General features: G+C 41.2%; 2 pseudogenes across 2 annotated transcripts in view, besides 1 other annotated feature; one reads left to right on the top strand and one right to left on the bottom strand.

Annotated features, from left to right (window-relative positions):
- Nucleotides 1-11,548, bottom strand: part of SEPTIN7P14 (septin 7 pseudogene 14) — a 44,810-nt pseudogene extending 33,262 nt beyond the window's left edge. Inside the window, exons 1-5 of the transcript NR_037630.1 lie at nt 11,198-11,548; nt 6,089-6,148; nt 5,504-5,600; nt 4,480-4,614; nt 3,352-3,435 (exon numbers count right to left, since the gene is read on the bottom strand). The product of NR_037630.1 is annotated as a septin 7 pseudogene 14 (transcript). The remainder of the gene's footprint in view (nt 1-3,351; nt 3,436-4,479; nt 4,615-5,503; nt 5,601-6,088; nt 6,149-11,197) is intronic.
- Nucleotides 11,448-11,987: an enhancer, noted in NCBI's record as "active region_21856". NCBI's record gives its function as "activates an Ori minimal core promoter by ATAC-STARR-seq in GM12878 lymphoblastoid cells {active_cell/tissue: GM12878}" and the evidence as "EXISTENCE:reporter gene assay evidence [ECO:0000049][PMID:35858748]".
- Nucleotides 11,703-16,761, top strand: GTF2IP12 (general transcription factor IIi pseudogene 12; annotated as a pseudogene). Its single transcript, NR_135112.1, has 2 exons — nt 11,703-12,085; nt 16,206-16,761. The product of NR_135112.1 is annotated as a general transcription factor IIi pseudogene 12 (transcript).
- Nucleotides 16,762-18,174: the final 1,413 nt, after the last annotated feature.

The following is an 18,174-nucleotide window of genomic DNA, read 5'->3' as shown; positions in this document are numbered from 1 at the left end:
TTGTGGGCCATTATTACTCCTAAATATTTTAAATGTCTTTGTCTATCACTGGGGAGATTCACCTGTGATATGAGAGATGCCCAATGTACATTTAATTAAACAAAAATAAGAATACACTCCAATGCACTATAACAGACAAACAAATGAATACTGGGTATCCTGTAGCAAGGTTCCAAATTCATAGCAATTGAATCTTAGAAAGAACATTAAAGGTCATCTGGTCCAGCGGACTGCAAATGTCAGGCTTCAATGAACTTTTTACTGATCTATGTCAAAATGAGGACAATGTAATAAGTTTTCATAAGGCTAAGTTTTTTAAATTTAAAGACAATCCTTTAGTCAGATTATATTCTTCCTTATATTTGAGGAAGTGGCTTAGTCATAGCTCACCATAGCCTCCAATTCTTCCACTTCGACTCCTGAGTAGCTAGGACTACAGGAGTGCACCCCCATGCCCAACTAATTTTTTTTTTTTGAGTTTCGCTCTTATTGCCCAGTCTGCAGTTCAGTGGCACAATCTTGGCTCACTGCAACCTCCGCCTCCCGGGTTCAAGTGATTCTCCTGTCTCAGCCTCCCGAGTAGCTGGGATTACAGGCATCCACCACCACACCCGGCTAATTTTTGTATTTTTAGTGCAGACGAGGTTTTACCATGTTGGCCAGGCTGGTCTTGAACTCCTGACTTCAGGTGATCCACCTGCCTCAGCCTCCCAAAGTGTTAGGATTACAGGCATGAGCCACTGCGCCCAGCCCCAATTAATTTTTTAATTTTTTGTAGAGACAGGATCTCACTATGTTGCCTAGTCTACGGCCTCAAGCAATCCTCCTGCCTTGGTCCCCAAAGTGCTGGGATTAGAGGAGTAAGCCACTGCATCTGGCCTGAACCTATCCATCTTTGAAAAAAAATTTAAGTTTTCCTTCTTTTCATTAATCATTATATAAAACACTAAATATAAATGCCATGAAATATTCAATCTCCGATTTCTAAATTATGATTTTTCAATTTATACTCATGACAAATTTAAATTGTCACTGCCTTATTAAGCTATTATGTCAGATACAAGCCTGCTTATTAATCCAGTGACAAAAAAGCAGAGTTCAGTTAATCTAAAATTTTAATAAATCTTAAAGGCATTTAATATAAAGTATTAAAATCCAAATAACAAGATTTTATATTTAAATGCAAAATACTTGCTGAATATTTATTATAGTATCCCAACTTTTAAAGAGAAAGATATTTAAAAATAAACATGACAAGGAAATTAGAGAAGTCAACTTCTTAAATATAACCAAAGGGTCAAAAAACATTTAAGTCAGTTTAAAAATTAAACTTTAGGAAAAAAGGTAAACCTTGTAAAAGTCTCATTAAATTTCAGAAGCCTACAAAACGTCAGCAACAGAAAACATTTAGTTCACATGTGTATTACATTCTGGGTGAATTTTTTCCCTCTGTCCATTTAGATTTATATTGGCTAGTCTTTTCATCAACAAATTTAGTTTTTAAATCTTGTTTTTTAGCAATAGAAAATCCTTTATCATTTCTAGAAGGTAAACCCACAGTAGAGAGAAAAGACTATTTAGCCTCAAATTCTACAGCATAATAAACAACTACAGGGAAAATGACAAATTTTTTTTGTATGTATGTATATATTTCTAAGGGAAAAAATCCTTCTGTATAAAACTCACTGGATGACACCAATTTTTCTAAAACTGGGAATCAATACTAGAAGGATAAAACACCATTTTAAAATTCATGTTCCAAGTCAGTATTTTACTTTAATAACAGTTACAAAATAGTGAACAACGCACATGAAGCGATAATAGCCGAAATCATAAATCAGCCATGCATGCAGTTCATACTTGGTAGAGGGAGGTAGAAGGCACTGAAAGTGCACTGTTGGACGAATTTATAATCACTCTAAAAACAAAACCCTCTAAAAAGGGAATCTAGGGACTACCCAGACAAGATGGAAAGGCTCTGATTCATTTGTTAGACTGCACAGAATTTCAGTCCGTAGTGAGCAGGGTACCTGGAACTCTATACATAAAATTCTGTGTCATATTCTTTTTTTTTTGAGATGGAGTTTCACTCTTGTTGCCCAGGCTGGAGTGCAATGGTGTGATCTCGGCTCACCGCAACCTCCACCTCCCAGATTCAAGCAACTGTCCTGACTCAGCCTCCCTATTAGCTGGGATTACAGGCATGCGCCACCACGGCCAGCTAATTTTGTATTTTTAGTAGACACGGGGTTGCTCCATGTTGGTCAGGCTGGTCTCGAACTCTCGACCTCAGGTGATCCGCCTGCCTAAGCCTCTCAAAATGCTGGGATTACAGGCGTGAGCCACCGCGCCCAGCCTCATATTCTTTCACTTAATCCACAATATCATGTACCAATGGGCAAAACTTTGCTCCATTTCTAAAAATAGTTAAACTGAGAAATTATTCAAAGGTACATTTTTATATATAAGATATAGCAATTTTAAACATCTTACCCCTTGTGACAAATAAGAAATGGCACAAAGCCACTACATCTCATTTGAATATAAAAATTTTTTTCTTTTAAAAAAGCTCTCATTTCCCATGCAATTTTAAGAAATAAAATTTTCCCCAAGGGGATGGCAGGAATGTGATTTCATGAGAATTACTATAGTTGGAGAGAGTCCAGAAAATCTAAAATAATAAAATTGGTTATAAGCTGACAAATTTTATTGGCTTAACTGCAGGTTAAGATTTCACTCTGCTGGCTTTCAGGAAAAGGCCCTGACAAGTTAAATGAGAATGATTTAAAAATATAAATTCAAGAAGCTACACAAATACTTATAAAAGGTTATGCAGTGTGTTGTATTTTTGAGATGACTTTTTTTGAGCCTTTTAAGTCAAATAGTCAGTTTAGTGATTTAAATATGTAAACTGAGAACACCATAAAATGATAGACTGGATTAAGAAAATGTGGCACATATACACCATGGAATACTATGCAGCCATAAAAAAGGATGAGTTCATGTCCTTTGCAGGGACATGGATGAAGCTGGAAACCATCATTCTGAGCAAACTATCGCAAGGACAGAAACCCAAACACCGCATAGGTGTTTCTCACTCATAGGTGGGAATTGAACAATGAGAACACCTGGACACAGGGCGGGAAATATCATACACTAGGGCCTGTCGTGGGGTGGGGGATGGAGGAGGGATAGTATTAGGAGAAATACCTAATGTAAATGACCAGTTAATGGGTGCAGCAAACAAACATGGCACATGTATACATATGTAACAAACCTGCACATTGTGAAGATATACCGTAGAACTTAAAGTATACTACTACTACTAATAATAATAAAAACTGAAATTACCTCAACAAAAGGCAATGCCAGGTAGTTACAAACACGTACTACCCAATCCTGCCTGAAGGTGGGAGTCTTCAGTTATGTAATGGTCTACGGCACAGCAAAAAAAAAAAAAAAAAAAGAGTATTAGACATAAAAGAAGAAACATTTTTACCCCACTCCAATCTGACAGTGCAAAAATATAAGTATATAATTAAGGCTCCCTTATCCATCTAGAGTGATAATGGGCATTGACCCATCTATAAAAACAAACAAAAAAAAGAGAGTGAGAAGCCAAAAATGGAAGAGAAAAGTATACCTGAAGGAATTGGTTTACTCTACTGTAATGTGTTAGATAACTTAATGCTATTTAGCCTGATGCTACTACAGTTCTTTTAGTGGAGAGATGGTGGCGTTACAATTACCAGGTGGCTGAATTATGTATGCTGAGTTACTTACCCAAAGGAAAAGACTGAGGAAGAATAATTGGAAAAATCTGCAGTTACAAATGACACATATATGTACTCAAAATGAAAGGGGAAGTACAAAGAACAAAAAAAGGGAGTACAGGCTAACTATAACAAACAGAACAATCACATCAGATTAATGTCTAGATTCTTAGGTCTTATGTCCTAATAAACAAAAGGTTAGTACTGACAATATGATACTTAAACGACATGTCTATGACAGCTAAGGTGAAACAGAAGCCAAACAGATTTCTTGCAGAAAGAAATGGCACAAGAAAACATTGGCATGCAAGTGCTTTTGATAACCATCTCTTATGAGACTTATAATAAATAGCATCTTTGGATTTATTTTGAATATGTCTAACTGGTTTGGCTGCTTCTCTTTATTTGGTAGTTCAACATGAAAGCTAAATTTGCCACATTGAGACCTCAAACCATGGTGGCAACACTGTTTATTTCCATGAAGCAGGGAAAATCCTTATGAATAAGAACTAAGGAGTAAAATCACTGTTAGCTTACACAGGACTTAAAAAGGCTTTTCAACTAAGACATTTCTACATGAAATTTGGTACTTAATAATGGGTATAGTTGTATGTACTTCACAAACTTAAAGATTACTCAAATATGCACATAAAGGTAACAGTAAGCAACAACAACAAAAAGGAATCAGAACTATCAGGTTACTGACCCATGTCCTGAAGGAGCAATGAAGTATAAACAACACTGCACCCTGTTACCAGGCATCTGACATCTGTTCACTCGCGATTCTGCATTTAGGTAGTCCTCAAATTTAATATCAATGTAATTGATAACAGGCTGCCAGCTATAGAATGCAAATAAACAAAACAATTAAGTTGCAATTCTACATATGAATTAACTGATGACTGTTAAAGGACAATAATCAATATTTTCAAATAAGCAAAATGAATTTACCAAGGGAAGATATGTCAAGTTATTCTATATAAAGATTCAAAAATATAAATTATGTTGAATAAATCTTTATTCATTATTTCAAAACTTTCCAAATGAAAGAAAATATTTATTGCTGAAATTATTAGCATATTATTGGCACTAGTAAGTGTATTAATAACACACTTCATAATATGAAAACAATTATATTCAGTTTCAAATTTCAAATGAGAGATTACTTTAAATAATATAAAAACTTCATGATGAACTTAGGAGTTTTAAGAGTTGACAGAAAAATACCTCAAAAACAATGTGAATTCAAACAAAAATAAAAGTTATTTATAAAATACTAAGATAATTACTTCAGACTAAAATTTCATAGTTGTTTTCTTCACTTAGGACTTATGGAAAAACTGAAGGTCTAAATATCAGGTTTAAATTAGGATTGAGATAGAATTTATACAAATGGATAAAATTAAAGCAAACAGTTTTAAATTTCTTACAATAATGAGAATTCTTCTATCTAGCTACGTTATTTTGGAATATGTCTTAAAAACAATTTTATGATAGGTATTATCTCCATTTTATCGAAAAGTAAATGGGTTCAAAGAAGTTAAACTTCTTTGTTTAACTTTGAAGTTAAACTTTGTCAAATAAGTGGCAAAGTTGGTATACAAACCTGTCATGTTACTTGAAGTTTGGTGACCTTTGCTAAGAAGAGTTTTAAAATGTTAAGAAGAGAAAGTTTAACCACCCCAATACCCCAAATACACTGGAAAGTTGTGAGGACAAATCCTTCTTACCAATTACTGTTATCCACTGCATCTCCAAATCCTGGGGTATCAACTATTGTAAGCAGCAACTGAACACCACCTTCTTTGATTAAAACTTTGGTTCCACCTATAACAGTAATTGGTGCAGATGTTAATATCATACATTACACCAGTGATTTCCTACCAGGGGTGATGGTAGGGATGTTTGAGTTTACCTACTCCCACATTTTCTTTAGGATCAATGATTGTGGGCATTGGAAATCCAGATTATTTGAAAGAAAAGCATATATACAAATAGTATGCCAATCTCTTGGCAAATTAATACTGGGTTTATGAGTCATACTTGGTATAAAGAAAGACAGAGGAACTGATAAAATAGTGATCACCACTAAAGACATGTAATACATAACTTAAATGTGCATTTAATAATACAAATAAGCAGTTTGAGTGATTCAGTCATTCAGAGTTCAAATGTAATTCATCAGGCAAGAACATTTAATCTACCGTTTATAGTAAATGTCTTCCTAGACTATTCTCTATCAAGTTTGGCCCAAACCACTCACTCAAATGAACTTACTATCATTCCTAAATCTTTCTCAGCATGGATGTAATTACCCTTATATTTATGTTATGGCTAGGATCCAATCCTCTTCTCAAATGTGATTTTTCAAGCTCCTATAAATCAGCAAGAAAATGACAGAAAATATTAAGATTACCAAAAGACTTTAATGAAATCTGAAGTTATTGAGTACAAAAGACATGTTCAACCTCACTAGAAATCAAATAAAATAAACTCAAATACCTTTATATCTTTATGCACACACAACAGCAATGAGTGCCTAAGTCTACTAAGACATGCACAAGAATGTTCCCGTTAGTAAAAAACTGAAAACCCAAAGGCTTATCTACAATAAATAATAAAGGATATACTGATACATTCACACAATGGAGTATTATACGACGATGAAAAAAACAACTACACCCAACATGAGTAAATAATACAGACATAATCTTCACTGAAAGAAAACAGATACAAAAAAGTATACGTATATAACGTTCAAGAACAGGCAAATTTATGGAGAAGGCAGTCAGTAAGGTGTTTATCTTTGGGGGTTGTAATACTGAATGCGAGTGAGCACATGGAAGAAACTAGGGTTCTGGAAATGAACTGTATATTAATTTGGACAGTGGTTAGTTTTACCTTTCATATCTAAATTCATAAATACTTAAGTGAAGGTATTCATAATAGATACCCAAATTAAGAAAGTTCAAAGTTCATTTTCTTGCTTAGGTTTAAAATTTCCAATATTTATCACAAAATAAATAAGCATGTAGGATCAAGTTTTTAGAGTAGAATTTTGCAGGTAATTTGAAATCTCAAGCCCTCTGAAGGTTACTAAAAAAAAAAAAAAAAAAAAAAAAATTCCTAAAATAGAAACATTAAAAAGGAGAAATAAGATTTACTTCACAAAATTACTCCTTTGGGGTCTTGCAGTATGATATATATGAGTTACTGCTCAGAATATATAGACTGTCCTCCTATCCTGTGCACTGGGATGATCACTACCACTTCTTCAAATCCAGCTAAAAGCATCATGGCCTCAATGAAGCCTACTCCAGCCAGAACTGTTCACGTGCCTCCTCTCTGCTCGTGTCCTATATATTACCTAAGCAGAGCTCACCAACAATATTTTTCATCAACAGCTTAGAGCAGCGCTGCCAAATAAAAATACCATGTCGGTCATGTAAGTAATTTAAAATTTTCTTAGTAGCCACTTTTAAAATAGGAAAAAGGTGAAATCAGTCAATTTTATTTAACCCGATACATCCAAAATATTATCACTGCAGTATACGATCAATATAAAAAATTACGGAGATTTTCTTTTCCATGCTCAGTCTTAGAAATCTGTGGCATATTTTATATTTGCAGAACATCACAATTCAGACTACCCACATTTCAAAGATTAATAGCCACATGTGGCTACAGGCTGCTGTACTATTTAATAAAAAGTGCATATCTAGAGTCTAGCCCCTTGCTTTATAAAGTGTGATCTACCATCCAGCAGCATCAGCATCACCTGGGATCTTGTTAGAAATGTAGAAAGGCAGCCCATCTCAGAACTACTAGAAGAAATAAATTTAACAGGATACCCAGGATTGGAATGCATAGCAAAGACTGAGAAGCAGTAAATTAGATCACATATAGCTTGGGAGTCTTACAGAATTGCTATTGCCATTCAACTATGATATGGTATTATCCCACTGACTAATATAGAACACTGTATTTAAATAACAATAGTTTTTCTATGAATCATGTTTTCTCTCCACTGTCCAATGCAATTTTCTACAATGATGAAAATCTTCATATATGTGCTGCACAAAATGGCAGCCACTTGCCACATATGGCTGTTGAGCACTTGAAATATATCTGGAGCAAATGAGAAATTGCATTTTAATTTAATTAATTTTAATTGATTTAAACATGTGGCAAATGACTATCATACTACATAGCACAACTCCAGGGGAATTGGTTACTATGTCACAGTGTCATCTCTAGGAGAATCCTTAGGACAAATTTGGAAAGTTCTAGTCAAGATAATTCGATTAACTGTACTTCTTCTGTTTTTTTAATTTTATGAAGTCATATTTACCATCTTACACTGGCTGAGGGCAAATTTGCATCTTACCTCTAAGGAAGCATAATAAAAGTTACAACACGTGCTTTGTGTGTATTAATATTATTCCAGCTTATCATCAATTAAAAATACCAATATCTAGACCTGTACAGGCTTTTTAATTCTCTGAGAAGGACCCGGATACTCTGGAGAATACAAATCTGGGAGGAATAATGAGTTGATTAATGTCAACTTTCCCAATCCAGATTCGCCTAAAAGAAATAAGGGAAAATATCTGTTAAACTCACCCACTTTACCCAACCTTAAATATTCAACAGATGCTGTAATTGAACTTGCTTTATGCAAGTATTTCTTGGTGAGACAATGAAATGACATTAGAAAATATGCTACAAAGAATAAGTATCTTGTCCTCAGTTTCTTAGCTATCAAATTAAACTCACGTTTCCAAGGATTCTTTTCAGCCTTCTAATTATACCACTTATATTCATTAAAAGTAATGTATCTAATAATTACATTTTTAACAGTAATGTATTCCCAAAGAAAAAAGTCAGTCATTATTTAAAAATCCAAGTTGGATTATATATCACTGCTTCAGTGAAATAAAGTTTTTCTTTATTAATAGACAATAATGAATGAATAATAAACAAGAAATCATGCAGCTATAAAAAGCAAAAATCTGCTAATACAAAGATTAATCACAATGAACATCTCTGTATAAAAGTCTAAATCACAAAAAATACTTTCTAATTTTGCCGCCCATCAGCCTAAATATAAGGGTGCTTCTCCACAAACCAGAATCCAAAAAATCTTAGGTAATTACTTTTTCTACCACTTCTACTCAAGGTAGGAGGTAGACACGAAGGAAGCTAGGGCATGATTTCTACTCTGACCACATACTCTTTTTTGACTCTCCGTGTTTAGTCCAATATACATAGTCCAGTGTATAGTAATTATTACAAGTATACCAAAATATAAATGGCTTCAAGGTATATATAACCTAAGGTTAAAACAAATTATAAATCAGATTATGATAAGTAACATGGCACAGAGTTAAAGTATTTATTGTTAATAACTCACTTAGCATAATAGGCATGTTTAGCCTAAGTAACTGATGTCACAATATTTTTATGCCTAGGAGGAATTCTTTTTATATTAGCTCTCAAAAGAGATAAGATTCTCTCCACGTGGTTTGGGCTTACCCCTTTGACTGAGAGCATGCCACTTTTTACTAGAGGTTGATGTATGACTCAACTTAGAGTTGAGGATGAAAAGTGGGGATCATAGCACCTGCCTATACCCTGGTACAGATCATATGATGTTGATTTATTTATTTGTGGAGTCAGGGTCTCGCTGTGTTGCCCAGGCTGGAGTGCAGTGGTACGATCATGGCTCACTGCAGCCTTGAACTCCTGGGTGTGGTGGTGCGCACCTGTAGTCCCAGCAACTCTGGCAGGCTGAGGCAGGAGAATCGCTTGAACTCAGGAGGCGGAGGTTGCAGTGAGCCGAGATTACGCCACTACACTCCAGCCTGGAGACAAAGACTCCATCTCAGGAAAAAAAAAATTTTAAATTAAAAAGTTCTAGTATCTAAAATGAGCAAAATCGCCAGGCGCGGTGGGTCACACTTGTAATCCCAGCACTTTGGGATGCAGAAGTGGGTGGACCATCCGAAGTCAGAGGTTGAGACCAGCCTGCAGTGAGCCGAGATTGCACCACTGCACTCCTGGGAGACAGAGTGAGACTCCATTTCAAAAAAAGAATTAGCCAAGCGTGGTAGCATGCACCTGTAGTCCTAGCTACCGGGGACGCTGACGGGGAAGGATTCCTTGAGCCAGAAGGTCAAGGCTGCAGTGAGCCTTGTTTGCACCACCTCACTCCAACCTGGGCAAGACCCCATCTCAAAAAAGAAAAAAAAAAAAACACAAAAACAACAAAACAGAACAGAACAGCATCACTTCCTTATCATTAGTTTGAAGTAAATTGCCTGTAAAAGTTTCCATTTTCAAAAAAAGTATTAAAATATAGTGCAAAGCCAGGCACGATGGCTCATTCCTGTAATCTCAGCACTTTGGGAGGCTGAAATGGATTGCCCCAGGAGGTCGAGGCTGCAGCCGAGCGATCCTCCCGCCTAAGCCCGGCAAGTAGCGGAGACTACAAGTGCGTGCCACCATGCCCAGCTAATTTTTTGTATTTTTGTAGAGACAGGGTTCCACCATGTTGCCCAAACTAGTCTGGAATTCCTGAGCTCAAGCGACCCACCCGCTTCCGCCTCCGCCTCCGCCTCCCCAAAATGCTGGGATTATGGGCGTGAGCCACCAGGCCTGGCCCAATTACTTTCTTCAGTCTGAGCATGAGCGCTGGAAGAAAAGCGCTCACTTGCATATAATTTTTTAGAGACAGAGTCTCCCTCTGTTACACGGGCTGGAGTGCAATGGCGCAATCTCAGCTCACTGTAACCTCAACCTCCAGTGCTTGATCGCTTATATAATCTCAGCTCACTGTAATCTCAACCTCCCGGGCTCGATCGCATATATATACACACATATATTTGTTTGTTTAGACGGAGTCTTGGTCTGTTGCCCAGGCTGGAGTGCAGTGGCGCGATCTCCGCTCACTGCAACCTCCGCATCCCGGGTTCAAACAATTCTCTGCCTCAGCCTCCCGAGTAGCTGGGATTACAGGCACCCGCCACCACGCCCGACTAATTTTTGTGTTTTTAGTAGAGACGGGGTTTCAGTGAAACCATGCTGGCCAGGCTGGTCTTGAACTCCTGTCCTCGTGATCCACCCGCCTCGACCTCCCAAAGTGCTGGGATTACAGGCGTGGGCCACCTCGCCCAGCCGACCGCTTATATTTTTAAAAAGATGTTTTCTTCGTTTCCTAGCCCCTTCTACCCCGCTACAAAGTTTCAAAGACTTAATGCTATTACAAAGGGCCGTCAGAGGTCAAGCTCAGGGGTGCAGCTCCCTCATGCCGGGCAGCCTCAGAGGGGGCCAACCCTACCCAGGATGAGCGGCGCCAGGTAGCCGGGGACGCTCCCGGGGGTCCCCGGGCCCTGCCTGGGGGAGGTGTTGTGGGGCGCACGTACCCAGGCTCAGGTGAGGCGAGTGGGCGGCCGGGGCTGCAGCTGGCGCTGGCCATTGAGGAGCTTCGGCGCGACAGTGCGATCGGTTGCACCTTCTGCGACAGGTGCCGGCCGGTTGGCGCGCAGCGCCTGCTAGCGCAGAGTCTGGCCCTTGCTGCGCCCGGCCCCGAAGACCGGGAAGTCGTAAAGCTCCTCCTCGCAGCTTATGTGCGGCGGCGGCCGGGCCGAAGCCTAGCGACACAGAGCTGCCAGCTCAGCAGCGGGTTACATCCCGCCCGGCCACCGGTAGGCAGCGTCCGCTCAAGCGCGCTCCTGGAAGACCCAGCAGCCCCGCCGCGAGTTCCGATTGGCTCCGCGTGAGTGGCGGTCCCCTGCGACCTCACAAGAGCGCGCCTTCCGTGACGCCGCAAGAGCGCGCCTTCCGTGGCGTCACAAGAGCGCGCCTTCCGTGACGTCACAATGGCGCGCCTTCGCCGACACCATAGAGGTGGGCCTCTGGCGACGTCAGAGGCGTGGGTGTTCGGCTACGTCACTGGGGCCCTACGGTGCCTGGAGCTGGGCAGTCTTCTCGTCAGAGTGGGGACTGGTAAGAGCGACCTCCCCGCCAGGTCCTGTGTGTTGCCAGCCGAAGAAGGGTAGCTGAAAAATTCAGACCCAGCACAGTGTTTATGTTGGTCAAAAATAGAAAACTATGTCTGGCGCCGCCGAGGCGGGAGGACCCTTCAGGCCAAGAGCAGCCTAGCAACATGGCGCAACCCCATCTCTGTAGTCCTACCTCAGCTCCCCCCAGCTGAGGGGGGCTCAGCCCCCCAGCCCTCAAGTATGAACCCAACGGTTCAAGGCTCCAGTGAGCTATGATCCCATCACAGCATTCCAGCCTGCGAGATTGAGGTAAACCCTGTGTAAAAAAATTAAAAAACTATCCAAGTGTGCAACAGGGAGGGACTGCTAAATAAAACATGAGGCTGGCTGGGCCCTACTGTAATCCCAGCACTTTGGGAGGCCGAGGCGGGAGGATGGATGGCTTGGGCTCAGGAGTTCGAGACCAGCCTGGGCAACATGACGAAACCCCGTCTCTACAAAAGATACAAAAATTAGCCGGGCGCGGTGTGCACCTGGCCTAATTTTTGTATTTTTTTTTTCTAGAGATGGGGTGGGGGGGGGGCCTCGCTATGTTGCCCGGGTCAGTTTCGAACTCCTGAGTTGAAGCGATCTTCTCACCTTGGCCATCAGAGTTGTCGGGATTACAGGCGTGAGGGACAGCGCCCCACCTGGGTTAGGCTACTTAATAACATAAGAAAGTGCTCCGCCAGGCTCAGTGGCTGACACCTGTAATCCCAACACTTCGGGAGGCCGAGGCGGGTGGATCACCTGAGGTCAGGAGTTGGAGACCAGCCTGGCCATGGTGAAACCCAGTCTCTACAAAAAATACAAAAATTAGCCAGGCGTGGTGGCGCATGCCTGTAGTCCCAGCTACTTGGGAGGCTGATAAAAGAGAATTACTTGAACCCGGGGGGCGGAGGTTGCATTGGGCGGAGATCGCACCACTGCACCCCAGCCTGGGCGACATAGCGAGACTCCAAAGTTTTGACACCAGCCTGGGCAATGTAGTGAAACCCTGTCTCTACAAAACAAACAAACAAAAACGCAGGAGTAACTGTGTCCACCTGTGGCCCTAGCTAGTTAGGAGGCTGAGGCAGGAGGATCACTTGAGGCCAGGAGCTCAAGGCTGCAGTGAGCTATGATAATCCCACTGCTTCCCATCCTGAGCAATAGAGTGAAAGCATGTCTCTAGATAGCTAGCTAGCTAGCTAGATAATTGATACGTAGTTTTGTATCAAATTTTTTCCCTAGATTTGAGCATGTTTTTCTAAAGTAGCATTCAACACATCAGCATTTTACAGTCTTATTAGTTGTTAATATGATTATGTTTTTCTGAAATACAGTATCCTTTACAAAAGCAGTTTTGTCTTTCAAGGCACATAGATAAGGCCCTCAAGTGAATTTGTCTGATGTTGGCGACCTTGGTACCATTTTGTCCACTTGATTGGAAAAGTCAGTCAATAATTTCAGGTCACTGTTGGCCTTAGAAGAAGAGCCCAAAGGCAACAAGCAAAGGCGCTGGTGTCCAGTCACCTTCTAGAAGCATTTTCACTTTCCCTTAAGGTTTCCCTTGATGAACATAGAAGTACTGTATGTAGAATTGACCCAGTGCTGCCCTGGCAACTTTTTATATTAGGCCAAATTTACATTTCTTACCTTTATGAGAGGCACCCTGGTAGGCTAGTGGAGTTACACACAAAGTCTGATCTCAGCTGCACTGTCCAGAGATGCAACACGGTCCAATCAAATAACATTCTCTGAGCCGGTTTCTTTAGCTGTAAAAGAAGAATAACATACCCATCTAAAAAGGCAGCTTATTGTATTTGATTGGTCTTTTATTTTCTATGAAACTGTGTTTAACACAGTAATTATTTTCATTTGTATACTACATTTGTGTTGTGTTTTTGGTTTTAGTTTTGTTTTTGAAATGGAGTCTTTTTTTAGTGGTTTTTTGTTTTGTTTTGTTTTGTTTTTGAGATGGAGTCTTTCTATTGTCACCCAGGCTGGAGTGCAGTGGCATGATCTCCACTCACTGCAACCTCCACTTCCCAGGTTCAAGTGATTCTCCTGCCTCAGCCTCCTGAGAACCCGGGATTACAGGTGCCCACCACCACACCCAGCTAATTTTTTAAATATATTTTTAGTAGAGATGGGGTTATAACATGTTGCCCAGGCTGGTCTCAAACTACTGACGTCAAGTGATCCACCCGCCTTGGCTTCCCAAAGTGCTGGGATTATAGGCATGAGCCACTGCGCCTGGCTTGTTTTCAAATAAGGGTTTCTTGGCTAGGTATGGTGGCTCACACCTGTAATCCCAGCACTTTGGGAGGCCAAGGTCAGTGGATCACCTGAGGTCAGGAGTTCGAGACCAGCCTGACCAATATGGAGAAACCCTGTCTGTACTAAAAATACAAAATTAGCCAGGCGTGGTGGCGCATGCCTGTAATCCCAGCTACTCAGGAGGCTGAGGAAGGAGAATTGCTTGAACCCAGGGGGCAGAGGTTGCAGTCAGCTGATATCGCACCATTGCACTCCAGCCTGGGCAACAAGTGCAAAACTCTGTCTCAAAATAAAAAAAAGATTTCTTAAAATGATATTTTCAGTATTTTATAGATGATGTGTAAGCAGCAATCTTAATAGGATGTTACCCGACACTTTGCGAGACTGGCAGCTAATTTGATTCAGATGTTTCTAATTCTTTTTTCTTTTTCTGTTTCTGTTTTTTTTTTTTTTCTTTTTTTTTTTTTTTTTTTTTTTGACAGAGCCTTGCTCTGTCCCCCATGCCGGAGTGCAGTGGCATGATCTCGGCTCACTGCAGCCTCCACCTCCCGGGTTCAAGCGATTCTCCTGCCTCAGGCTCCCGAGTAGCTGGGATTACAGGGGCACGCCACCATGCCCAGCTAATTTTTTGTATTTTTGGTAGAGACAGCGTTTCACCATGTTGGCCAGGCTGGTCTTGAACTCTTGACCTTAGGTGATCTGCCTGCCTCAGCTTCCCAAAGTGTTAGGATTACAGGCATCAGCCACTGTGCCTGGCCCAGATGTGTCTAATTCTAACATGAGATGTATTGCAGGATCATAGCAGAGTGAGTTGCTGATGTATCCAGAAGGAAACGAGCTTGGAACTCTCACGACAGCTGTCTTGAGAAGTGTGTGTGTGCTGTGCTTGAATATCTCACTGCTCATTTATACACAGGCTTTCTGGTGACTGAGTTAACAGTATCTGTTTCATAAATAATGTAGCCCTCTTTCTTTCTTTCTCTTTTTTTTTTTTTTTTTTTTGAGACAGGGTCTTGCTCTGTTACCCAGGCTGGAGTGCAATGGTGCAGTCTCGGCTCACCTCAACTTCAGCCTCCTGGGTTCAAGCGATTCTCCTGCCTCAGCCTCCCAAGTAGCTGGGATTACAGGCATGTGCCACCACACCTGGCTAATTTTTTCTTTTTTTGTTTTGAGATGGAGTTTCGCTGTTGTTGCCCAGGCTGGAGTGCAATGGCACAATCTCGGCTCACCACAATCTTTGCCTTTCGGGTTCAAGGGATTCTCCTTTCTCAGCCTCCCGAGTAGCTGGGATTACAGGCATGTGCCACCACACCCGGCTAATGTTGTATTTTTAGTAGAGACGGGGTTTCTCTATGTTGGTTAGGCTGGTCTCAAACTCCTGACCTCAGGTGATCTACCTTCCTCAGCCTCTTAAAGTGCTGGGATCACAGGCATGAGCCATTGCTCCTGGCCTAATTTTTGTATTTTTAGTAGAGAGGGGGTTTCACTATATTGGCCAGGCTGGTCTCGAATTCCTGACCTCAAGTTATCTGCCTGCCTCGGCCTCCCAAAGTGTTGGAATTACAGGCGTGAACCACCATGCCTGGCCAGCTCTATTTCTTTAAGCCTACATGTTTTGCACTTGTTAAAAGTATTTGAATATACAATTACTCAGTTTCCCTTGTTTATGCTTGAATTTTGTATAATCTTAAATATTTTTTCCAATCTAAGCTTTATTTTATCCCGTTTCTTCTATATTTGTATAACTTTAGGTGGCTATCTTCATTGAAAATTTTTTCTCAAAAGCCTTAAAATAGAACATAGTTCTTGGCAGCAATTTAAAGTTATTTGAGGAGAAGGGGAGACTTACAATGATGCTTCAATTGAAGCAAACTAAAAAGTAATGAAGCAAGACAGAGGAAAAAGCAGTATTCACTTGAGCACATCCCAAAAGAATAACATTTCAAATGTAACTAGAAAAAAGATTGCTGAAGTTTGCAATACAGAAATAATTATTAAGATAGCTTTAAAGCCCTGCTCAGCTTTTGAATGTTGGGAATTGACCCAGAGGTGGCTGTAAACTAAGATGGTTCCTTCAGTAATGACCATTTTTTCTTTTTCAAGATGATGATTATTCCCCACCTTCTAGGACACAAAGACCAACGAGCCACCACAGCCACCAGTCCCAGAACCCGCTAATGCTGGGGAACGGAAAATGAGGGAGTTCAACTCTGGCAAGTTCTCAGCGAAATCCACGACCTTTTCCTTTATCTTCTGGACTCTCAATGTGACTGATGAAAGTTACCACATGCTCTGCAGGGGGAAATGGTTTAGCATGTATTACTACATCTTAATCACATCTTTGTAAAGCCAGGAGCATTTTGAAAGTCACGTTACAGACATTCAGACATTGTTTAAACATAGTCTGTATATACCAAAGTATAGGACGTTGTATCATCTCATATTAATTAGTTAGTTGGCTCAAAATTAGTGCTAATGACTTAGTAATTCAGTGATTTCTGTTAGCTTTAAAACCTTTATTTCAGAACTATTTCACCTCTTGGTTTTCATTTTTGCTGTGTGTCACTGCCTGCCAGCTGCTAATTTATTAACTCCCAGTGAATCACGTGTCCTGTGAAGGGACTGAATATTAGTGGCAAATTATGTTGATGATTTATATTTTGAATAAATAGTTTGAATACATAGAACATTAAGCTTGTATACATTTTGAAAATAGTATTTTAATATTCTACTGTGTCATAGTCACAATGATTGGATATATATTGAATTTATATGTACTTTAAGTTGTTATATGTTTATGGTCTTTAGCATTCTAACGTGCAGTTGTATATCTGTTAAGTCTTTTTTTTTTTTTTTCAAGATTAGACTCTGATTTATTGAGGCATCTGTTTGATGCCACATTAAGTGGCCCAGGCTTTGTGTAGGGATTGAGGTTAAAGCAGGAAGAAGGGTGGTGAGAGGCAGGGGTACCAGGATTAGGTTGGAATACCTGGGGGTGCTCTGAGGCTCCCCAAGTTTCCCTGGTCTTGGCCGGCTGTGCTGCTGGCCTGGGCATCTGATGGGCCTGCAAGGGTGGTCCAGGGGCTAGGGCAGGGACTTTGGAGTCACACCGTTGGCTTTGAATCCAGACTCCTACACTTGGTAGCTGTGAACTCTCCATGCCTCAGGGACCTGCAGAACTGAGCTCTGTCTGAGCCAGGTTCCATCCAGGCACTGTGGATCCATCCAGAGGGGCACTGCCTCAGGTTGCTCACTATTCACTGCCTTCTCAAGCAGACCGTTGTCTCCTTCTAGGCCCTCACAATCCAGTGGAGGAGACGAAACTCATCTGCCTCTGTCCCTCTGGGCACGCCTCATGCCAGGTGCATCTGTGGACAGGGGCCATGCTCCTGGGCTTCCAAAGTTGGAGAAAGCTGCCAGGCTCAGGTGGGTACATCACAGCAGCTGCTGCCCTCTGGACACAGTAACAAAAGAACACTCTGGGCCTGGAGCCCTGGTCTGGGGCATTGGGCAAGGCTGTTGCATTTCTCTGAGCCCATTTCCCCATCTGGAAAGTGCGCTGATTGTATCTCCCTGTGGGCACTGAGGGCTCAGTGTTAGTTTGACAGCCAGCATCTGGGGTTTGGGCTGTAATTTCCCATCAGCCCCATAGCTGCGGGGAACCAGGGACTTTGTTGGGATTACCCTAGGCATCAGTCTAGCTTCCTGCCCCTGGCTTGGGCTCAGCACCTGAAGTAGTCTAGGGGGTAGGTGGTCCTGGTGGGGGCTGGGGCTTTTACCCAGACTGAGGTCACACCCAGAGCCAGAAATCTTGGTGCCTGCTCTGGGCAAAGGTGCCAGCCTGTGCGACAAGAGTGAAACTCTGTCTCCAAAACAAAAACAAAAAACCTTGCATCATTTCAAGGGGCTCACACCTCCCTAAGGGCCTGGTAATTGGCTGGCTCTGGCCTGCATCTGGCCCCGAGGGTGTAGGTAACACCCCACCTTAGCTGGTTTCTTCCTGCCAGGGCCAATCTTCAGACCTCGGGACTTTGCAGCCTATCCCACCTCCCCTCTGGCCAGCCTTGAGCCCTTGTGGGTCCAGCACTTTTTCCAGG

The sequence above is a fragment of the Homo sapiens genome, chromosome 4 (genome assembly GCF_000001405.40).
Source record: "Homo sapiens chromosome 4, GRCh38.p14 Primary Assembly".
NCBI classification, from domain to species: domain Eukaryota; kingdom Metazoa; phylum Chordata; class Mammalia; order Primates; family Hominidae; genus Homo; species Homo sapiens.
This window is presented reverse-complemented; position numbering and strand designations above follow the sequence as displayed.